General features: G+C 41.4%; 2 protein-coding genes across 44 annotated transcripts in view, besides 2 other annotated features; both read left to right on the top strand.

The window, feature by feature from the left end:
* The window catches only part of ZBED6 (zinc finger BED-type containing 6), a 58,502-nt gene extending 40,892 nt beyond the window's left edge, over nucleotides 1-17,610 (top strand). The window contains exons 10-17 of the mRNA NM_001395895.1: nucleotides 1,452-1,550; nucleotides 3,792-3,860; nucleotides 10,670-11,173; nucleotides 11,817-11,893; nucleotides 13,197-13,512; nucleotides 14,001-14,167; nucleotides 14,543-14,610; nucleotides 15,627-17,610. The gene's annotated coding sequence lies outside the window, so the exon portion shown is untranslated. The remainder of the gene's footprint in view (nucleotides 1-1,451; nucleotides 1,551-3,791; nucleotides 3,861-10,669; nucleotides 11,174-11,816; nucleotides 11,894-13,196; nucleotides 13,513-14,000; nucleotides 14,168-14,542; nucleotides 14,611-15,626) is intronic.
* Nucleotides 1-17,610, top strand: part of ZC3H11A (zinc finger CCCH-type containing 11A) — a 58,502-nt gene extending 40,892 nt beyond the window's left edge. For 39 of the 43 annotated variants that reach the window (NM_001319238.2, NM_001376338.1, NM_001376358.1 and 36 more), the window contains 8 exons: nucleotides 1,452-1,550; nucleotides 3,792-3,860; nucleotides 10,670-11,173; nucleotides 11,817-11,893; nucleotides 13,197-13,512; nucleotides 14,001-14,167; nucleotides 14,543-14,610; nucleotides 15,627-17,610. In NM_001319238.2, the coding sequence (NP_001306167.1) occupies nucleotides 1,452-1,550; nucleotides 3,792-3,860; nucleotides 10,670-11,173; nucleotides 11,817-11,893; nucleotides 13,197-13,512; nucleotides 14,001-14,167; nucleotides 14,543-14,610; nucleotides 15,627-15,885 (1,559 nt within the window). In that variant the 3' untranslated portion in view covers nucleotides 15,886-17,610. The remainder of the gene's footprint in view (nucleotides 1-1,451; nucleotides 1,551-3,791; nucleotides 3,861-10,669; nucleotides 11,174-11,816; nucleotides 11,894-13,196; nucleotides 13,513-14,000; nucleotides 14,168-14,542; nucleotides 14,611-15,626) is intronic. The other 4 variants (NM_001376367.1, NM_001376366.1, NM_001350265.2 and 1 more) reach the window with 1 other exon arrangement.
* Nucleotides 4,813-5,013: a silencer, noted in NCBI's record as "peak661 fragment used in MPRA reporter construct". NCBI's record gives its function as "represses an SCP1 promoter by STARR-seq MPRAs in K562 erythroleukemia cells {active_cell/tissue: K562}" and the evidence as "EXISTENCE:reporter gene assay evidence [ECO:0000049][PMID:32103011]".
* Nucleotides 5,028-5,528: an enhancer, noted in NCBI's record as "H3K27ac hESC enhancer chr1:203810670-203811170 (GRCh37/hg19 assembly coordinates)". NCBI's record gives its function as "activates a minimal SCP1, AML or CMV promoter by ChIP-STARR-seq in primed H9 embryonic stem cells {active_cell/tissue: H9 hESC(primed)}" and the evidence as "EXISTENCE:reporter gene assay evidence [ECO:0000049][PMID:30033119]".

The raw sequence follows: 23,802 nt of genomic DNA on the forward strand, positions 1-23,802 counted from the left end.
TGAGGCAGGTGGATCACAAGGTCAGGAGTTCGAGACCGGCCTGATCAACATGGTGAAACTACTAAAAATACAAACATCTCTACTACAAAAAAGTCTACTAAAAATACAAAAATCAGCCAGGCATGGTGGCATGCGCCTGTAATTCCAGCTACTCGGGAGGCTGAGGTAGGAGAATCGCTTGAACCCGGGAGGTGGAGGTGGCAGTGAGCTGAGATCTTCCCACTGCACTCCAGCCTGGGCGAAAGAATGAGACTCCGTCTCAGAAAGCAGCTAGAATTAGGAAACTTGATTTAGGTCTTGGCTGTATCACTAACTAGTTGATGACTTGGGTAAGATACAGAATATTTCAGAACCTTAGATTTCTTTTCTAGAATTGGAGAGAGAGGGGTTATGTGGCTCTTAAAGTCTTCATACTAAAAAACTTAAAATTTAATAATTCTTAACCTGTCTTCCTCATCCTGTATGCATTTACTTAATTCAGCAGCTGACCAGTTAAGATTTTTGGGGGGGCCTGGCATAGTGCTGTAATCCTAGCATTTGGAGGCTGAAGTGGGCAGATCACCTGAGCTCAGGAGTTCAAGACCAGCCTGGGCAACATGGCAAACCCTTGTCTCTACTAAAAATACAAAAATTAACCAGGCATGGCATGTGCCTATAGTCCAGCTACTTGGGAGGCTGAGGTGGGAGGATCGCTTGAGCCTAGGAGGTGGAGGTTGCAGTGAGCTGAGATTGCACCACTGCACTCCAGCCTGGGTGACAGAGTGAGATCCTGTCTCAAAAAAAAAAAAAAGGGTTCTTTTGTACATGAAGATTTTTCACATTTCTAATTCTGAACTTTAATCTCAACCAGGGTTTATGACCTTTCATTTGTAGGTTTGTCAGTTAATTTATTTGGTAAATGTTTGTGTATTCTAATTTTTTGTTCTTTCCCTTGTCTCTCTTTTTTTTTTTTTCTTGAGAATGGGGCCTTGCTGTATCGCCCAGGCAGGAGTGTAGTATTATGATCATAGCTCAGTATTATGATCATAGCTCACTGTAGCCTTTCTACCTCCTGGGCTCAAGTGATCCTTCTGCTTCAGCCTCCTAAGTAGCTGGGACCACAGGTGTGTGCCACCATGCCTGACTATTTTTTATTTTAATTGTTTTAGAGACAAGGTCTTGCTGTGTTGCCCAGGCTGGTCTCGAACTCCTGGCCTTAAGTGATCCTCCTGCCTTGACCTCCCAAAGTGCTGAGATTACAGGCCTGAGCCACTGCACCTTGCCTTCCTTACCTCTTTTCTCCGACATTTTTATGTTTCTAACATTGAACTCTAAGGAAGCTGGTGAACAAACACGCCATATGTATGCAGAACACTTAACAGAATTATGCTATGTTGTCTGTTTTTGTTTGTATTTCTTGTCCTTGCTGAAGATTGACTTGAAATCTTAAACTAAGTTCTCCCTCTTTATAGGCGGTGACAGTGATCCTCCATTAAAGCGTAGCCTGGCACAGAGGCTAGGGAAGAAAGTTGAAGCTCCAGAAACTAACATTGACAAAACACCAAAGAAAGGTACCTGTGTTCTTACATACTTTGTGTGTGTATGTAATTATGACACTTGTGTCTTGTAATGCTAACAGCTATGGTTTTTCATTCTTTTGTTCAGGTAAATAGGTTATCTTGTATTTGTTATATTATTCACTCAACAAACATTTGATCCTTAGTCTGCTAGATTCTGGGTAGACACCATTGAAAAAAACACCGTCACACTCCTCAGGAGCTTATAGTATAAATGGCAGGTAGGAATACTTATAAATGCGATAAATTTTGTAACAGAGAAAAGTACACAGTGTTATGGTAACACATAGGAGAGGCATCTATTATTACCATCTGTTAGGGGAAGGTTCACAGAAGAAGTTATGTTAAAGTTTAGACCTAAGACATGAGTTAGAAATTAGCCAGGTGAAGTTCGAGAGCCAGAGACTGTGTCTCAGGCAGAGAGAATAACTCCTGCAAAGGCAGAGCTAAGAGTGGTATGCTCAAGGAACTGCATATGGCTGAAACATAGAAATGGGCTGAAGAGTGTGGTGACTAGATCATAATATAGTCTTTAAGCCATGTTAGAAAGTTTGGACTTATTCTAAGATAGTAACAACCCATTGAAAGGTTATAAACAGGCCGGGCACGGTAGGTCATGCCTGTAATCCCAGTACTTTGGGAGGCCGAGGTGGGTGGATCACCTGAGGTCAGATGTTTGAGACCAGTCTGGCCAACATGGCAAAACCCCATCTTTACTAAAAATACAAAAAAATTAGCTGGGCAGGGTGGCACGCACCTATAATCCCAGCTACTTGGGAGGCTGAGGCAGGAGAATTGTGTGAACCTGGAAGGCGGAGGTTACAGTGAGCCAAGATCAGTCACCACTGCACTCCAGCCTGGGTGACCGAGTGAGACTTCATCTCAAAAAAAAAAAAAAAAAAAAAGAAAGAAAGAAAGGTTATAAACAAGGATCACAGGCTCAAATGTGCATTTTAAAACCATTACCTTGCCTGCAATATGGAGACAGATTAGAAGGGGGCAAGCATGCTGGCGTGGAGATGAGTTGGCAGGCTGTTAAAATAATCTAGATAAGACGAGGTAGTGGCATAGATTTGGTATTTTGGAAGTTGATTTGGAGACGTGGACTAAATCAAGAGATAGCTGGGAGTTAGATTTTTGTTTTGTTTTGTTTGTTTAAAGACAAGGTTTCACAGTGTTGCCTAGGCTGGATTCAAATTTCTGGCCTCAAGCCATCCTTCTTCAGCCTCCCAAGTAGCTGGAAGTACAGGAATGCACTATTGCGCCCCTCAGGGAATTAGAATTCTTTATAGTTGAAGGAGAGCAAAAAGCCAAGGTTAGATTTATGTTTTTTCTGCTTGTATGACTTGCAGTGAAACACTGGCGTTAAATTATTAAAGAATAGGTGTTTTTTTCCTTCTCATTGTGTTTGGTTTTAACTTTCTTTGAAATAAGAAACTTCTTTTAATTTTTCCCCTTGCCCAAGGGACTTTGATGAGTAGACGTTCCTGTTTGGAGGTTTTCTTGCATTCTCAGAGCAAGCAAAAGTTACTTTCTTTGCCACATTGTTTTCCTCCTTGTGTATTGACCATGTTGAAGATTTTCATAACTAAGGAGCATATTTTAAATTTACTTGGAGGAAAAATTATTTCAATGACAGTAAGGTTTTAGAAGGCTCTACAATAACAAAATTATTTCCTTTAATTCAGTAGTTTTTGCTTTTCAGATATAAAGTACGTTTTTCTTTGTTTCTTTTGGTATTTTTGTTTTTTGAGACAGAGTCTCACTCTGTCACCCAGACTGGAGTGCAGTAGCGCTATCTCAGCTCACCCCAACCTCCACCTCCCGGGTTCAAACGATTCTCCTGTCTCAGCCTCCAGAGTATCTGAGATTACAGGCATGTGCCACCACACCCGGCTAATTTTTGTGTTTTTAGTAGAGATGGGGTTTCACCATGTTGGCCAGGCTGGTCTTGAACTCCTGACCTCAAGTGATCCACCCACCTCAGCCTCCCAAAGTGCTGGGATTACAAGCGTGAGCCACTGCGCCCAGCTAATTTTTGCAATTTTAGTAGAGATGGGGTTTCACCATGTTGGCCAGGCTGGCCTTGAAGTCCTGACCTCAAGTGATCAGCCTGCCTTGGCCTCCCAAAGTTCTGGGATTACAGGTGTATGCCACCATGCCCAGCAAACCTGTATTTAAGCTGTAAAAAGTTTCTGTTCAACTTTTGATTTTTGAAAATCTTTCTTTTCACAGCTCAAGTTTCCAAGTCTCTTAAGGAGCGATTAGGCATGTCAGCTGATCCAGATAATGAGGATGCAACAGGTAAGTAAATCCTAAGACCAGATTCTGATTATTTTTTTCTTTGCTGTAAGAGCCTTTGCTTTTTCTCAGATTTACCTGTTGCTTGCTAGGGCTTTTGATTTTTGTTCTTTTGTAGTTCTGTTTGTTTTTTAAGTAATTGATCAAGTCAGCTCAGACTCAACTGGGATCAATTCCTTTTTTGTGCTTAGAGATGGTAAAATGATTGTTCATCATAGCATTAATAGTAGGAAATTATTTATTTATTTATTTATTTATTTATTTATTTTATTTATTTTTGAGACAGAGTTTTGCTCTTGTTGCCCAGGCTGGAGTTAAATGGCAAGGTCTCAGCTCACTGCAACCTCCACCTCCTGGGTTCAAGCAATTCCCCTGCCTCAGCCTACCGAGTAGCTAGAATTACAGGCGTACGCCACCATGCCTTGCTAATATTTGTATTTTTAGTAGAGACGGGGTTTCACCATGTTGGTCAGGCTGGTCTCAAACTCCTGACCTTAGGTGATCCACCTGCCTCAGCCTCCCAAAATCCTGGGATTACAGGCACGAGCCACCGCACCCGGCTAAATAGTAGGAAATTAGAAACAACTTAAATATACAATAAAAAGGGTTTAGATAAAATTATGATAGTTATGTGCTAAAATAATTGCTGTCATGAAAAGTCAAATGCTGAACAACGATATGGAAAAATCAACTTGCATTGTATCAAGTGAAGAAAGATAACAGAGAGCACATACCACTTTTGACCTCCTGATTTAGGGCAACATAAGAATCTTTTTTTTTTTTTTATTTTTTTTTTTAGTATTTATTGATCATTCTTGGGTGTTTCTCGGAGAGGGGGATTGGCAGGGTCATAGGACAACAGTGGAGGGAAGGTCAGCAGATAAACATGTGAACAAGGGTCTGTGGTTTTCCTAGACAGAGGACCCTGCGGCCTTCTGCAGTGTTTGTGTCCCTGGGTACTTGAGATTAGGGAGTGGTGATGACTCTTAACGAGCATGCTGCCTTCAAGCATCTGTTTAACAAAGCACATCTTGCACCGCCCTTAATCAATTTAACCCTGTGTGGACACAGCACATGTTTCAGAGAGCACGGGGTTGGGAGTAAAGTTATAGATTAACAGCATCCCAAGGCAGAAGAATTTTTCTTAGTACAGAACAAAATGGAGTCTCCCATGTCTACTTCTTTCTACACAGACACAGTAACAATCTGATCTCTCTTTCTTTTCCCCACATTTCCCCGTTTTCTATTCGACAAAACCGCCTTTGTCATCATGGCCCGTTCTCAATGAGCTGTTGGGTACACCTCCCAGACGGGGTGGTGGCTGGGCAGAGGGGCTCCTCACTTCCCAGATAGGGCGGCCGGGCAGAGGCGCCCCCCACCTCCCAGACGGGGCAGTGGCCGGGTGGAGGCGCCCCCCACCTCCCTCCCGGACGGGGCGGCTGCCGGGCGGAGGGGCTCCTCACTTCGCAGACGGGGCGGCTGCCGGGCGGAGGGGCTCCTCACTTCTCAGACGGGGCGGCCGGGCAGAGACGCTCCTCACCTCCCAGATGGGGTGGCGGTCGGGCAGAGACACTCCTCAGTTCCCAGACGGGGCCGCGGCTGGGCAGAGGGGCTCCTCACATCCCAGACGGGGCGGCAGGGCAGAGGCGCTCCCCACATCTCAGACGATGGGCGGCCGGGCAGAGACACTCCTCACTTCCTAGACGGGATGGCGGCTGGGAAGAGGCGCTCCTCACTTCCCAGACTGGGCGGCTGGGCGGAAGGGCTCCTCACATCCCAGACGATGGGCGGCCAGGCAGAGACGCTCCTCACTTCCCAGACGGGGTGGCGGCCGGGCAGAGGCTGCAATCTCAGCACTTTGGGAGGCAAGGCAGGCGGCTGGGAGGTGGAGGTTGTAGCAAGCCGAGATCACGCCACTGCACTCCAGCCTGGGCAACATTGAGCACTGAGTGAGCGAGACTCCGTCTGCAATCCCGGCACCTCGGGAGGCTGAGGCAGGCAGATCACTCGCGGTCAGGAGCTGGAGACCAGCCCGGCCAACACGGCGAAACCCCGTCTCCACCAAAACATGCAAACACCAGTCAAGTGTGGCGGCGCGCGCCTGCAATCCCAGGCACTCTGCAGGCTGAGGCAGGAGAATCAGGCAGGGAGGTTGCAGTGAGCCGAGATGGCAGCAGTACAGTCCAGCCTTGGCTTTCACAACTTTGGTGGCATCAGAGGGAGACCGGGGAGAGGGGGAGGGGGAGGGGGAATCTTTTTTTTTTTTTTTTAAGTTTATTTTCTTATTATAGAAACTTATTCTCAGGAGAAACATGCATATGTATGAGATTATTCTAATTTTGTAAAGATATAAACATATACCTTTAAAAAAATCTTCAAAAATACACGAGAATATAAATAAAATTGGTGTCATCTGGGTATTGAGGTTTTCTTTATATTCTTTCTGTGTTATAATTTTTAAATTTTTTAAATTATGAAATATAACTACATAAGTATATATATGTACAGTTTAAGGAATAATAAAATGAACATCCATGTATTCAGCCTTCCGTCTTTTTTTTTTTAATACCTTGCTGAATTCAGTTTGAGGCTTTTAAAAATTTTATATTTTTACATCTCTATTTATGAATGCTGTTAGCCACCTTAGGTTACTTTTTATCCCCCATCCTTATCTCATTTGGATGTTAAAGTTATATTAGCATCATAAAAAGGGAGTCCGATGTTGGACATTCTTATTCTGTTGTATGCAACCTGAATTATTCAGAGATTTCTAGGGTTTTATCTCTCCCTAGTATGCTGCAGGTTCACTGTTGTGGATCAAACATGGATCATTTTTGTTCATTCTGCTAAATCAGTATTTATGATAATCAGTATTTATCATAAATACTGATTCAGTAAATACATAAATACTGATTCAGTGGGCCCTTGAATCTAAAGATTTGTCTTTAGCTCTAGAAAACATTAATTTCTTTTGAGTATGACTGCCCCACATTTCTTTTTGTTTTCTCCTTGTGAAATTTGTATTAGATAGATGTTGGAACTTTGGGACATATGCCTGCATGTCTCTGTATACTTTTTGTTTCTTTGTTTTTGGCTAACCTTCTGTGAGCTTTGTTCAACTTTATTTTTTAGACAAGGAATTGACAATTTTTTTCCTGTAAAGGGTCGGATATAAATAACTTTGCAGTCCACAGTATTGCAGCTACCCCACTCTGCCATTGTAGAATGAAAGCAGCCATATGCATATGTATGCAATATGTAAATGAATGACTGCTGGTGTGTTCTAGCAAAACTTCATTTACAAAATTAGGTGGTGGCCATATGGGCTATATATAGTTTGCCTATGCCTTTTTAAATGGCTGATTTGGGGCCAGCCTTATCTTTATTATCCAGTCCTTCATATGAATTTATTTTGGCACTTGGTGTTTTTATTTTTCAAGAACTTTCTTTGTTCTCTTATTTTTTTTTCTTTATTCTCGGCCTGGGATTTCTTCTTTTTTTTTGAGATGGAGTTTCGCTCTTGTTGCCCAGTCTGGAGTGCAATGGTGCGATCTCGGCTCACTGCAACCTCTGCCTCCCAGGTTCAAGTGATTCTCCTGCCTCACCCTTCCGAGTAGCTGGGATTACAGGCATGCGCTACCACGCCCGGCTAATTTTGTATTTTTAGTAGAAACGGGGCTTCTCCATGTTGGTCAGGCTGGTCTCGAACTCCCGACCTCAGATGATCTGCCCACTTTGGCCTCCCAAAGTGCTGGGATTACAGGCGTGAGCCACTGTGCCCGCCTTTATTTTTTATTTTTATTTTTGTTTGAGACAGAGTCTCACTCTCATCCAGGCTGGAGTGCAGTGGCGTGATCTCAGCTCACTGCAACCTCTGCCTCCCAGGTTAAAGCGATTCTCCTGTCTCAGCCTCCCGAGTAAATGGGATTACAGGCATGTGCAATCACGCCTGGCTAACTTGTATTTTTAGTAGAGACGGGGTTTCACCCTGTTGGCCAGGCTAGTCTCCAACTCCTGATCTGCCTCACCTCAAGTGATCTGCCTGCCTTGGCCTCCCAAAGTGCTGGGATTACAGGTGTGAGTCACTGCGCCTGGCCTGCTCTGGGATTTCTAATTCAAATCTTTATTTTTATTTTTAAAAGTTTGTGTATTATTTTGGCTTCTTAACCACTTCTTTTTATTTATTTTGGTTTATCTTAAATATTGTTGTTTTTCCATAGTTGTAAGTACCTGGCTTGGGTTTCCTTTCATTTTAAAGACCCTTTCCCCAAGTTGTCCTCTCTCCTGACTGGGAGACTCCATTTATGTCTGGCTAAGTGGAGAGGGTGTACTAACAGGCAGCTTGTATGGACTGAAGATGGGAGGTCTGGGGGCTCATACAATTGCCACAGTAAGACTTTATTTTCTGAGTGGAAACAACTTCTTTCCTTTTTCAGATTTGCTGTTTACTTTTATCCCTCCTCCCTCCCCTTTTTCTGCTTGGTATTGTGAAAGCTTGGGATTTTCATGCTCTACTTCTCTCCAGCCCCAACATCTTCATAATGTGCTCTTCGTGGGCAAACTTGCCTCTTTTTAGGGAGCAGTTCTCAGGAGGAGGTCATGACTGGCCCAACTGTTCTATAGGCAGTCCTTAAATTTCTACCCTAATGGTTATGTCAGATCCCACCGTTGCTTTTAATATTAGTTAACCCAAGTTTGACAGTTTCCTTTGACTGTATTGGGAGGAACAGAACTCACGCCTATGGTTTTAACTATTATTTTTCCATTTTTCTGTAAATTCAGACATCTGCTTTCTGTTTTAGAAATTCTTCAAGATGTATGCTCTGCCAGTGACATCCTTATTTCTCATTGCTGGTGTGGATTTATTTTATTTTTAATGTTTTATCATTTCAATGAAATTTTGGTAGGGGAGGGAAACAGGGCCTCTATGTCACCATTCATGTTGTACTTTCTTGGAGTGGTAATTTTGAAATGTTTGCCACCTTGGATTGAAAGAATTTGTGATTTTTTATTAAAGAACTTGAAGAACTAATTCAGTAAGTGAGTGCTTCCTTTGCAATATTACAGGTACCTAAATACAGTCGTTGTTCTCATGAAGTCTTTAGTGTGGTTGAAGATGCAATTACAGTGTACTGAGTGTTCAGTGCTTTGATCAGAAAAACTAAATTGGAGGGTATCAGGTTTTAAGCTGAATTCAGTTGAAACTAACCAGGCCTGGCGTGGTGGCTCACGCCTGTAATCCCAGCACTTTGGGAGGCCAGGCAGGTAAATCTCTTGAGACCAGGAGTTTTGAGACCAGCCTGGCCAACATGGCAAAACCCTGTCTCTACAAAAAATACAAAAATTAGCCAGGCGTGGTCGTGGGCACCTGTAGGCCCAGCTACTTGGGAGGCTGAGGCAGAGAATCACTTGAACCCAGGAGATGTAGGTTGCGGTGAGTCAAGATGACACCACTGCACACTCCAGCCTGGGCAACAGAGCAAAACTCTGTCTCAAAAAACAAGCAAACAAAAAACACAGGTAGCAAGAGAAATGAGAACAGCACGGAATACTCCAAGTAGAGGGAATAGTATACTCAGGAGTTTGGAAAGTGAGACAGAACACAGTATATTTTAAGATTTCAGACTGGGTATGGTGGCTCACACCTGTAATCCCAGCACTTTGATTGGCTGAGGCAGAAGGATCACTTGAAGCCAGGAGTTTGGAGACCAGCCTGGGCCACATAACAAGACCTCGTCTTTACCAAAAAAAAAAAAAAAAAAAAGATTTTGAAAAGATATAATTTTTTTGGGGGGGGGGTTCATTAAAAGCTGTTATTCAGTGATTACATATATATGTGTATGATCTCCAAATTATCATTTATTTCATAGCACTATCTCTTTTCATTATTTATTTTCTTAGCCCTTCAGTAATGAGAATGGTTCTATCTGTGAAGTGTGACATTTGGTCTTCAGTTTAGACAGATATAGAACGATTAATGTATCATTGAAAATAGCTCTTCAGTGGCATGCCAATTTCTGGGCCTTCTGCATTTTTCTTCTATCTTGTCACCTGTTTTACCTTCTTTTTATCCTTTAAATTTAATATCATTTCCTTGTAGACAAGTGTAGGTGTTCCTGCTGTGTCCTTTTATAGCATTATACCTACCTTATCAAAGCAGTTATCATTACCATACTCTGCTATAGCTAGTTTAATTATTGATCTGTTAGACTGTAAATTACATGTGGACAGAGATTTTATTTTGCTTACCATTGTATTTCTAGCCCAGTGTTCATTACATGTTTATAGCCATAAGTTAATGAAGAATTTATTGCTATTTTTGTTAAGATTTATAATGACAAATTTATCCAACTAGTAAATGGCTTTCAGTTTCTGAAGAATAAGCTTCTGAATAGAAATACAAATCAATTTTTGCCTCCAAAGAGTTTTCCTTGAGGACCACTGCCTGGAACTTGCAGTAATCTAAAATTGAAATAGAAACAATTAGCCGGGCTTGGTGGTGGGTACCTGTAGTCCCAGCTACTTGGGAGGCTGAGGCAGGAGAATCACTTGAACCCTGGGAGGCAGAGGTTGCAGTGAGCTGAGATTATACCACTGCACTCCAGCCTGGGTAACAGAGTGAGACTCTGTCTTAAAAAAAAAAAGAAAAAGAAAAAAAGGAAAAGAAATAAATGTTACCCTTTTGATCCTTTTAATTGCCTGCTTAAATGATAGCTCTCTGTTGGACTGTCTTGATCCAAGAATAGAGAGATCATAAGTCAGTAAGAGATGAACTTCAAGTATAATGACATGTTTTTCTCCTGTGAAAACAGATAAAGTTAATAAAGTTGGTGAGATCCATGTGAAGACATTAGAAGAAATTCTTCTTGAAAGAGCCAGTCAGAAACGTGGAGAATTGCAAACTAAACTCAAGACAGAAGGACCTTCAAAAACTGATGATTCTACTTCAGGAGCAAGAAGCTCCTCCACTATCCGTATCAAAACCTTCTCTGAGGTCCTGGCTGAAAAAAAACATCGGCAGCAGGAAGCAGAGAGACAAAAAAGCAAAAAGGATACAACTTGCATCAAGCTAAAGATTGATAGTGAAATTAAAAAAACAGTAGTTTTGCCACCCATTGTTGCCAGCAGAGGACAATCAGAGGAGCCTGCAGGTAAAACAAAGTCTATGCAGGAGGTGCACATCAAGACGCTGGAAGAAATTAAACTGGAGAAGGCACTGAGGGTGCAGCAGAGCTCTGAGAGCAGCACCAGCTCCCCGTCTCAACACGAGGCCACTCCAGGGGCAAGGCGGCTGCTGCGAATCACCAAAAGAACAGGTAACAAGAGAACTTGGTCTCTAGTACCACGTCCCCACATAATATTCCAGAGGAGTGTTCCGTGGGATCTTCCTAGGAGTTGTTTGACAACCTTTCTTTACTCAGATAACGTTGAAAACACTGAATTAAATGAAGTTTTTCAGTAGTGCTATGTAGACCTATGCTATTTTGTTTTATTTTATTTTTGAGACAGAGTCTCACTCTGTCACCCAGGCTGCAGTGCAGTGGCATGACCTTGGCTCACTGTAGCCTCCACCTCCTAGGTTCAAGTGATTCTCCTGCCTCAGCCTCCCAAGTAGCTGGGGCTACAGACATGTGCCACCACACCCCGCTAATTTTTGTATTTTTAATAGAGATGGGGTTTCAGCATGTTGGCCAGGCTGGTCTCAAACTCCTCACCTCAAGTGTGATCTGCTTGCTTCAGTCTCCCAAAGTGCTGGGGTTACAGGTGTGAGCCACCATGCCCGGCCAACCTTTGCTATTTTAATGTGTATTTTGAGACTTTAGGAGCACAGATGGGCTTTATCTGTAATTTTATTTGTCCTGTCTTACTACTTTCATTAAATAAAGTTTTGTTTAACATATCTATCATGAAGTTGCAGCTTAAATAAAATAACTAATGATGTCTTTAATGTGAATACAGGGATGAAAGAAGAGAAGAACCTTCAGGAAGGAAATGAAGTTGATTCTCAGAGCAGTATTAGAACAGAAGCTAAAGAGGTAAATTTAAGATTATTGTATGGTTTTGTTCATGGCAAACAAAGGCTAGATAATTGGTAGTTTTACCTTACAATAAATTTCTAAGTACTTCATTCATATATTAGGTAAACAGTCTTTCTTTTTACTTATAATTTCTTATGAGAATTTCCTGTAGTTCTATGTATATCAGTATTCGCTGCCCTTTTAAAGTTTTTTGTTTGCCGGGCGCGGTGGCTCACGCCTGTAATCCCAGCACTTTGGGAGGCTGAGGCGGGCGGATCACGAGGTCAGGAGATTGAGACCGTCCTGGCTAACACGGTGAAACCCCGTCTCTACTAAAAATACAAAAAATAAAGTTTTTTGTTTAATTGGCCATTACTTTTTTTTAACTGAGTTTTTTCTAATGCTATGCATCATACAAAAGTTGGAAATTTTATTTTTTTTAAAACTGAACAAACCCTAAAAATATACAGCTCAGATGTAACCATCATTATCTTTTCCATGGATTTCTTCGAGCTTTTTCAGTCTTGCTCTGTTGCCCAGGCTGGAGTGCAGTGGCATGATCTCGGTTCACTGCAACCTTTGCCTCCTGGGTTCAAGCGATTCTTGTGCCTCAGCCTCCCATGTAGCTGGGATCAAAGGCATGCACCACCAAGCCTGACTAATTTTTGTATTTTTAGTAGAGACAGAGTTTCTCCATGTTGTCCAGAGTGGTCTCGAACTTCTGGCTTCAAGTGATCTGCCTGCCTTGGCCTCCCAACGTGTTGGGATTACATGTGTGAGCCACCACACTTGGCCTTCTTCGACCTTTTTGTTTATATATGCATGCATGTGAATTTGTTTAATGTTAAACCCATGTTTAGAACATAATGGAGAACTCTACAGTGTATCATTTTACAGCCTGCTTTAACTTTACCATGTTAATAATTCTTCAAGAAGTTTGTTTTTACTGACCACATGATTCTCCATTATACAAATACAGTCTTTTTCTGGACATTCAGATTTTGTTTTACACAATTTAAAGTAATATATTTGTACATAAATCTTTGTGCAGGTATTTGATTATTTAGGAATCATTAGTATTTGACTTAGAGTCATGGTTGTCTAGCCTGTGGAATCTGGGTTTTTTATTATTCCATACATCTGTAATTCTAATCTTTCATCTTTAACAGGGTATTGTCTATTTAACATCAAATAAAGAGCTTTTCTCTCAGATTCTGGATCATGTGAGATTCTGCTTAACTTAGATGTTAGCCTGGTACTTACATCATACAGGTTATTAGAGGTACCAGATTTTAATTCTGTCATTCAAATTTATCCACAGGCTTCAGGTGAGACCACAGGAGTTGACATCACTAAAATTCAAGTCAAGAGATGTGAGACCATGAGAGAGAAGCACATGCAGAAACAGCAGGAGAGGGAAAAATCAGTCTTGACACCTCTTCGGGGAGATGTAGCCTCTTGCAATACCCAAGTGGCAGAGAAACCAGTGCTCACTGCTGTGCCAGGAATCACACGGCACCTGACCAAGCGGCTTCCCACAAAGTCATCCCAGAAGGTGGAGGTAGAAACCTCAGGGATTGGAGACTCATTATTGAATGTGAAATGTGCAGCACAGACCTTGGAAAAAAGGGGTAAAGGCAAGTATTTCTATACTGTGTATTGCTTTAGGTTATCAAAATTACCAAATTCAACCCAATTGTTGCCAGTAACTTCCTGGCAACAATTGGGTTGAATTTCATTTGCCTTCTATCCACAGGTAGATAGTAATATTTCTGATATTTTTATACAGAGGCAAAACGAGATGAATTCTTTTCTCAGAATTTAAAATTGCTATTTAAAAAGCTTTGTGTAAAACTTTCTATGGTGCATCTTTCCTCTGGTATTGAATAAAAACAAGGAATAGAGGAATGGTAACAAATTTAAGTGGTATTGTATCTACATGGTGACCACCTGTAGTGACCACCATGTGACCACAAATTGCCTTTGAATCGTTTTCAGTCTCTTTTTAAATGAATTATTTGTGGTATTTCTAGTACTGAAGGAGTTTTGATATTTTATTCTGAATTATTCCCCATTTAAAAGAGTCTATTCTCACTGCTTATCAGATATTTTCTGCCCTTTGTAGCTAAACCCAAAGTGAACGTGAAGCCATCTGTGGTTAAAGTTGTGTCATCCCCCAAATTGGCCCCAAAACGTAAGGCAGTGGAGATGCACGCTGCTGTCATTGCCGCTGTGAAGCCACTCAGCTCCAGCAGTGTCCTACAGGAACCCCCAGCCAAAAAGGCAGCTGTGGTAAGAAGTATATTCACTTTGTGGTGCTTTATTCTGTGTGGTAGGAAAGCAGGAAAGACTAACTCTCCACTAGCATTCTATCTTGAGTATATCACTTCCTGGCATTTCCTAGCATTTTAGTAATTTGGGTTACTACTGTATTTTATACTTACAGTTTGATATTTGTGAAGTAGCAGGACAGGATTTTTTAAAAGCTAATTTTTAGGTGGCAAGATATTTTGCTTATTTATATACTCAACCTTTAGATTATCGATTCTTAGATTCACAGGCTTAAAGAATCATAGCCACAATTCTAAGAAGGCAGCAAAAGAAAATGAATATGCTCAAATTAAAAAGCCTGACTCTCACTGAATTACCTGACTCTTCCTTTTGTAGGCTGTTGTCCCGCTTGTCTCTGAGGACAAATCAGTCACTGTGCCTGAAGCAGAAAATCCTAGAGACAGGTAATACTTTGTAATTCTTTCTAAACAAACTCCAGGCCCCTGTTACTGTTTAGGCTCTCTAGAGAATAACACTGATAAATAACTTTAGCAACATTCAAATAAATCTGTTGCACTTCAAATTAATTGCAAGAAAGTATGAAAATCTAGGGTTGCTGTTCTTCTTTGGTGCCATTGTTTACATTTTGCTATATTACCTAAAAGATGTTTTTTTGTTTTTTTGTTTGAGGCAGCGTCTCACTGTGTCACCCAGACTGGAGTGCAGTGGCACAATCTCTGCTCACTGCAACCTCCACTTCCCGGGTTCAAGCAATTCTCCTGCCTCAGCTTCCCAAGTAGCTGGGATTACAGGTGCCTGCCACAAGGCCTAGCTAATTTTTGTATTTTTAGTAGTGACAGGGTTTTGCCACATTGTCCAGGGTGGTCTCAAACTCCTGACGTCAAGTGATCCACCTTCCTCGTCTTCCCAAAGTGCTGGGATTACAGGCATGAGCTACCATGCCCGGCCCCTGAAAGATGTCTTTAACACCTACTTTGAGTTATAAAAATGCTTGGTGCTGGCCAGGCAAGGCGGCTTATGCCTGTAATCCCAACATTTTGGGAGACTGGGGCTGGAGAATCACTTGAGCTCAGGAGTTCAAGACCAGCCTGGACAACATAGTGAGGTCTTGTCTCTAATAAAAATCAAAGAAATAAAAAAAAAATCACATGGTGACACACACCTGTAGACCCAGCTACTTGGGAGGCGGAGGCAAAATGATCGCTTGAGCCCAGGAGGTCGAGGCTGCAGTGAGCCATGATTGTACCACTACACTCCAGCCTGGGTGACAAAGGGAGACTCTGCCTCAAAAAAAAAAAAAAAAAAAAAAAAAAAGCTTGATCCCAAATCAGTAAAAGAATTATTTCTTTATGTATGTTCTTAAAAACAAATTTTTGCTCACTTTGTGTCCGTGAGACTAGGTGATTCAGCCAACTATTTTTAAAACGGCAGTTTTCTAATAATCTTTTTTTTCTTACAGTCTTGTGCTGCCTCCAACCCAGTCCTCTTCAGATTCCTCACCCCCGGAGGTGTCTGGCCCTTCCTCATCCCAAATGAGCATGAAAACTCGCCGACTCAGCTCTGCCTCAACAGGAAAGCCCCCACTCTCTGTGGAGGATGATTTTGAGAAACTAATATGGGAGATTTCAGGAGGCAAATTGGAAGCTGAGATTGACCTGGATCCTGGGAAAGATGAAGATGACCTTCTGCTTGAGCTATCAGAAATGATTGATAGCTGAAGGTGGTAGTGAGGACACTTTAAAAAAAAAATCGCCAAAAAACTGGACTTAGTTTCATCTATTGTAACATTTACCTGAGATGATCATTTCTTTAGTCTAGAATTTGCCCCAAATCAGAAGTATACCTCTGAATTATCTGTATGTGTCCTGGATTCCTTGGGGTCAGATTTTTAAAGTTACTTTATAACCATTTTGTCCATTTGATGCCATTGTTTATCATCTTTTGAGAAAAAAGTTCTGTCATACCCTTCTCTCCACAAAAAAGAGACTGAGAGGGAGATCAAGTGAAAGGGTGCAAGCGAACTTAGTGACTCCTTGAGGTGTTTGTCAGTTTTGGCTTTTTTCTTCTTTGTTGTATTCTTTATGTATTGTCTTGATGTACTTAATATTACCTGAGTTTGAAATGGATGAAGACAGCTGCTACCATTAAGGACCAAATTTTATGCTACCACTAAACAAAAATACCCACTCAGTCTGTGTTAAATTGTATGTCTTTTTAAAGGTATTTAAAGATTCAACTAAGCTTTAAAGAGGGCTGAGCAGCTCAGGAAGCCTGTAATGTGGGCATAACTCTTTGGACCTGATCTTGATGCTTCTGCTGCTCTGTTAGCCTCTGAAGAGCAATATCTAATTTATTATTACTGTAATTTTTTAAAAGGCTTTAAAGTGCCTCAGGGGTCCCCTGAAACTAATTTTCTATTTCTGGGATTCCCTGGATTCATTATATGAGATGGTGACATGATTAGAGGAATTCTTTTTTAGTATGAAAATTGTCCTTTTTCTTCTTCAGTACTTGCCTCCTTGCTGGCATTGAATTAACACAGGGACAAAATTTGGTTAATTTTTTATTTCTAACTCTCCCAACAAACCCCTGTTGCCCAGTATTTGTTTGGTGGCCTTTAACCACCTGAGGGAAAAAATGAGCTTATTCAAGCTGCCAATATTTATCTATGGGCTGTAGCAGTACACTGAATTGTACTGTGCCAGGGATATTGAGATGCTCTGGGGGTGTATTGTATACCTGCCAGTTTTCTTCATTTCTGAATTGAGTTTTCTTTTCTTGATGTTGGTTTCCTTCATATCACCTCAAGGTTTAGATTTGTGAAGGAATAAGCATGATGGAAATAATAGTCTTGAAAGGAGATATGTTGTATATAATCAGGAGGAAGAGGAAGGAAGGACTTACCCATTTTGATATTTTGCTGTAGGTGGCCAGTTTTGTTTCTCATAGGGAAATCTGACCCACCTGTCATGTTGGCTCCTAAGGAACTGCTGTTGTAAGCGGCTCATCAAGAGTTGAACTTCACGTAGCCTTGTTGGGAATATGGAAAAGGAAGAAAGCCACAGGACTGCCCATTCAGTCTTGGGAAGATTGGGATGATTCTGCACAAGCAAAAATGACTGAAGTTTATGTATAGACACACCTCTACCAATCCATCTTCAGCTGACTGAATGTTGTATGATAGCCCTTCTCCAAAGCAGAGGTAGAATGTTCAGGTTTCACCATGGATTTTCTACTTATTTCGTTTTTGGAATCAGCTTACAGATTCCAGGTCCCTTTTGTATATATTCTTTATTCTTTTGCTTTTTTAAAAAATAATTTTGTTTCATATTTAAAGCACTTGTATTAGTCAATGTTTCGTGTTCCGCATTATTTGAACCATTTGCCCTTACAGAAAGAGAAATACTTGTTTGTGTTTTAAATAAAACTGATGTAGGAAAGTCTTGATGTTGTGAGCTAAGTAATCTTACATCATCATATCAGCCTGGGATCCATCTTGACAAGAGACCCCAGACAGAATGCTATTGGCCTTTCGTGTAAGTGCCCGAATTTCAGTTATTATTTGGCTTAGAAACCTTTCATCTGGATATATTGCCAAATTTACAAGTGTGCTCAATTTTAGCTGCATATGCTTTAGGTAAGAATTTATATTATTATAATGTGAGGATTTTTTTTCTGACACGGATACTTACTCCTTAGTGTTGTAACTCAAGCAATGCCATTAAGTTTTTAAAAGGAGGGAGGGTTTAAAAGTGATCTTAGGGAGTCTCTCTGGGCCTACTCTGGCTCAAGAGGCTGATAAAAAATAAATAAATGAATAAACTTGATCTTTAGAGTCAACGATTTAGAATTTTCAAGCATGAAGGTGCAGCAGATAAGAAATTTAATTTATAGAAGTCCAGGTTTCTTAATATGTGTGCCAATTTTTAAAATTGTAGGAAAGTATATGTTTGTTAGCTACCAAAGAACATAGATTTTTCCTATTAGTCTAAAAGTCGTCCCAACAAGTTGAATCAACTTTTCACAAAAAGCAAAAGACTATAGTTTTGAATGATAGTTTTTCATTTTAACAGTAAGAAAAGGGCCCAAATATTCCAGTTTGGTTATAGCCAGAAATAAGATAGTTTTATGTTTCATATATTTTATCTCAAGATAATAATTCCTAAAGTTCTAGCCTTAACCCTAAATCTCAGTGGTTCTTCTTTAAAGCTAGAACATAGTGTGTTTTCATCTTGATCAGTATTTGAAAGATGAGACTGATGTTTACTAATTACAATTGCAGTAACAAAGCTTGATCTATTAATATATTGATCAGAGTTCCATGATCCTTTTCTAAAATGGTGGCTTTATTTTGCCAGAATAATTCTGCAGGGTGTTTTTTTTAAGACAGAGTCTCACTCTGTTGCCCAGGATAGAATGCAGAGTGGCACAATCTTGGCTCACTGCAACTCTTGCCTCCCAGTTTCAAGCGATTCTCCTGCCTCAGCCTCCTCAGTAGTTGGGATTACAGGGGTGCACCACCACACCTGGCTAATTTTTATATTTTTAGTAGAGACAGGATTTCACCATGTTGGCCAGGCTGGTCTGGAACCCCTGACCTCAAGTGATAGGCCTTCCTCGGCCTTCCAAAGTGCTGGGATTACAGGTTGTGAGCCACCACGCCCAGCCAACAGTTCTGCAGTTCTGTAAAGTATTTGATTGCTTTGAATTTGGCTGTAGCACAGGAAATACATGGTCTCCAGTTGTAACTGCTTAATAGGTAAAACTTAAATTAGCTAACATTTATTGAGTACTTATTGTGTATCTTTAATTCACGTCCTCATTTTGACACTAAATTATACAGTACATTAAAGATGACTATTCCCGCACTGAAGTTTCAGGGTCAGTATGTTTATATATTATGTGCCATTGGGTTTGATTAGTAGATCTTTTCAAGAGTGTTTTTTAAAATCATGACTTTATGAAGCTGCTCAGTAACTCTGAAAATTCCTACAACCCAGACATTTAACTGCATTAATAATTAAGACTCCAAACCGCAATTTATTTTGAATTTGCAAAAAGATATTAGTTAAGGGGCATGAACACAATTAAAATCCTTGACCATTCTCTTAAGTTTGTTCAATAAAGTGGGCAAAAAATAAGTAATGACCGTAAATAAGAACAGCAATCAAGAATTTAGTTTTACATTTAAAAAAAGTAATTTTGGCTGGGCACGGTGGCTCACGCCTGTAATCCCAGCACTTTGGGAGGCCGAGGTGGGTGGATCATCTGAGGTCAGAAGTTTGAGACCAGCCTGGCCAACATGGCAAAACCCCATCTTTACTGAAAGTACAAAAAAATTAGCCAGGCGGGGTGGCATGCACCTATAATCCCAGCTACTTGGGAGGCTGAGGCAGGAGAATTGTGTGAACCTGGAAGGCGGAGGTTACAGTGAGCCGAGATCAATCACCACTGCACTCCAGCCTGAGCAACAGGGCAAGACTCCATCTCAAAAAAATTTTTTTTGGATTTATATTTACTGAGAGGGTCTGTTACTAAGGTATTTAGATTTGGTTGGATTTAACTGCTAAAATGTTGTAGAGTCTGAATCTATGGCATGGTAAAGAATAATCACAGCCATTCAGCAAGTTGTGAAGCTTCTGGTTGGGATGAAAGAAACTTCAAGCTGAGAGGAAGAATGTTCTGAAATATTTGGGAGGTTTGGCAGACTCCTTTCTCAGGGGTATGTTCATTTGGGCCAGTGATTCTGAAGCCCACTTTGCAGATATCTTAGGTGTGTCATGAAGTTTTACAAGAACATTGTGAGTAGTTGCAATAACAAAAGGAAACAAATGTTTCATATTACTTTCCATTATCCGTGTCTCAGGTATTCTTCCAGAGATACTTTAGCCATGTGTAAGTGAATACACTTCCATACAATATCATGCGTAAAACACATGACATTCTGAACCCTGCCGTTTTTATTAAAGAAAATTTCAAATGTATTTAGAATTAAAGTATAATAAACTCCACATAGTCACCCAGTTTCAACAATTGCAGATTCATGGCCAATCCTCTCTTCTTTACCTTACCAACTATCCATCACCCCCTATTCTGACCTACTTGACTGGGCTGAGGGTGAGGCAAGCAAGGTATTGGGCACAATTTAAGGAGGCACTCACTTTTCAAGGCTTGTATTTGCACATGTGATTGTGATTCCTACAATTATGCTCAATCCTTAGCCTTGCCTTATCTGAGATCTGGCCCTGCTGGCTCCACTGAGTTATTTTGAAGTAAATCTCAAGCATAGTATACCTTGCTTTTTTTTTCATCATGTATATTGGATATCGTTTCATATCGGGACACAAAGACCTTTAATCTTAGTAACAGTTGCATAGAATTGCACCCTATGAAGATGCAGTAATTTATAATAGTCCCTATTGATAGACATTTAGGTTGCTTCCCATCTTGGTATTTTAAACAATGTTGTGATGATTACATTATACCACACATGTAAGTTTGTATGGAGGATAAGTACCTAGAAATAGAGCTTAATAATTTACAGTACCACTATTTTTTCATTTCCAATCTAATAAGAGAAATAGTACTTCAGTGTAGTTTGGTGTGCCTTTCTTTTTTTTCTTTTGTGACAGACATTCTGAATGTAGCCTTTCTGTTATGAGTGAAGCTGGGCATCTTTTCATGTTTAAAGACCACTCCTATATCCTTTGCTACAAACTGATGCTCACATCCATTGCCAATTTTAATTTTGAGTCTTTTTTTGTTTTGAGACGGAGTCTTGCTCTGTCACCCAGGCTGGAGCGCAATGGCGTGATCTCCACTCACTGCAACCTCCGCCTCCTGGGTTCAAGCAATTCTGCCTCAGCCTCCCGAGTAGCTGGGATCACAGGCGCCCGCCACCACACCCAGTTAATTTTTGTATTTTTAGTAGAGATGGGGTTTCGCCATGTTGGCCAGGCTGGTCTTGAACTCCTGACCTCAGGTAATCCGCTGGCCTCAGCCTCCCAAAGTGCTGGGATTACAAGAGTGAGCCACCGTGCCCGGCCCAGGCTTGGCTTTTAAAAGTGCTGGTAGAGCAGCTGGGCGCAGTGGTTCACACCTGTAATCCCAGCACTTTGGGAGGCCAAGGCAGGTGGATCAAGAGGTCAGGAGATCAAGACCATCCTGGCCAACATGGTGAAACCCTGTCTCTACTAAAAATACAAAAATTAGCCGGGCGTGGTGGCACATGCCTGTAATCCCTGCTACTCGGGAGCCTGAGGCAGGAGAATCGCTTGAAGCCAGGAATCGGAGGTTGCAGTGAGCCAAGATTGTGCCACTGCACTCCAGCCTGGTGACAGAATGAGACTCCGTCTCAAAAAAAAAAAAAAAAAAAAAAGTGCTGGTAGCTTCAACCTTGGTTTCCTAGACCCCTAATCCCCCATATAAGAAAGCATACCACCCTTCTAGAGAAACCGTGTGGTGAGGGCTGAGACTACATAGAGATAGGGACCCAGCTGAGGCCAGTCTTCCAAAGATACACACCAAAGCCGTAGATATGTCTTGTGGAGCAGAAGAATCACTCAGCTGAGAACCTGCCCAAATTCCTGACCCATGAAGTCATGAATTATAACAAAATGGTTGTTGTTTTAAGCTACTAAGTTTTGGAATATTTCTTACACATCAGTAAAGACCAGAATAGCATTCTTTTTCAGGAACTCTACATATTAGTAAAATTAATCATTTTTCAGATGTAATGCAAACATATTTTTCCTAGATGTTTTGACTTTGTTTATTGTTTCCCTTTTTAGTCATGCATAATTTTATTTTTATGTAGTTGCATTTATCATTCTTTTTTTCCCCTAAAAACCAGCTAGAGCATACAATTGAGGAAAAGATAGAATTTTTAAGAAGAAGAGAGATGAAATAGCTAAGGTTGAACTTAAGAAATCACAAGGTCTATATGAAGACAACCAAAAACTTTTGAAAGATTCAAAGGAAAGTTTGAACAAATAAAAAGACATCATGTACTTGGATTTAAAAAAGTAATCCTGGCCAGGTTCAGCTAACACGTGTAATCCTAGCACTTTGGGAGGCCAAGGCAGGAGAATCACTTGAGGCCGGGAGTTCAAGACCAGCCTGGTCAATATAGCAAAACCCCGTCTCTACTAAAAATACAAAAAGTTAGCCAGGTGTGGTGGTGCACACCTGTGGTCCTAGCTATTCCAGAGGCTGAGGTGGGAGGATCGCATGAGCCCTGGTGGGGAGGTTGTAGTGAGCCGAGATTGTACCACTGCATGTCAGCCTGTGCCATATCAGGAGATCCTGTCTAAAAAGAAGGTGGGGGAGGGCGGTGGGGAAAAATAAATAAACACGCTGTCTTAAAGTCAGACAACATGACACTCTGTTGGGTTTGGGTGGGGGAATGATTTTTTTAAAGACTGGGTCTCACTATGTTGCCCAGGCTGGAGTGTAGTGGCTATTTATAGGTGCCATTACAGCTCACTGCACTCTTGAACTAGGCTCAAGCAGTCCTACTACGTCAGCCTCCCCTAGTTCTTGGGAATACAGGCCATGCCACAAAACCCAGCTAGGGAATCTTTTTTTTTTTTTTTTTTTTTTGACAGGGCCTGGCTCTGTTGCTCAGGCTGGAGTGCAGTGGCATGATCTCTGCTCACTGCAACCTCTGCCTCCCGGGTTCAAGAGATTCTCCTGCTTCAGCTTCCAGAGTAGCTGGGACTACAGGCAGGCACCATCAGGCTCGGCTAATTTTTAAATTTTTTGGTAGAGCCAAGGTCTCATTATGTTGCTCAGGCTGGTCTTGAACTCCTGGGTTCGAGCAAGCCTCCTGCTTCTGCTTCTCAAAATGCTGGGATTACAGGCATGAGCTCGCGCACCTGGCTGAAATTTTTTTTTTTTTTTCTTTGAGACAGAGTCTTGCTCTGTCACCCAGGCTGGAGTGCAGTGGCGCGATCTCGGCTCACTGCAACCTCTGCCTCCCAGATTCAAGCAATTCTCCTGCCTCAGCCTCCTGAGTAGATGGGACTACAGGCGCCTACCACTACGCCCAGCTAATTTTTGTATTTTTAATAGAGACGGGGTTTCACCATATTGGCCAGGCTGGTCTCAAACTCCTGACCTTGTGATCTGCCTGCCTCAGCCTCCCAAAGTGCTGGGATTTACAGGCATGAGCCACTGTGCCCAGCCCTGGCTGAAATTTTTTAAAGGAAATAGTTATCCCATGCATTTGCCAGCTTTGTGTAGTTTATTTATTTATTTATTCTTATTTATTTTTTTGAGACGGAGTCTCGCTCCGTCACCAAGGCTGGAGTGCAGTGGCATGATCTCGGCTCACTGCAACCTCTGCCTCCTGGGTTCAAGTGATTCTCCTGTCTCAGTCTCCCAAGTAGCTGGGATTACAGGCATGTGCTACCATGCATGGCTAATTTTTGTATTTTTAGTAGAGACAAGGTTTCACCATGTTGCCCAGGCTGGTCTCGAACTCCTGACCTCAGTTGATCCACCTGCCTCGGCCTCCCAAAATGCTGGGATTACAGGCGTGAGCCTGGCCGCTTTGTGTAGTTTAAAAATCACTTTCAACTCAACCCCTTTCTGAAGTCGTTATTACTATTATCCCCATTAAACAGAAGCCCTCA

The sequence above is a fragment of the Homo sapiens genome, chromosome 1, assembly GCF_000001405.40.
Source record: "Homo sapiens chromosome 1, GRCh38.p14 Primary Assembly".
NCBI classification, from domain to species: domain Eukaryota; kingdom Metazoa; phylum Chordata; class Mammalia; order Primates; family Hominidae; genus Homo; species Homo sapiens.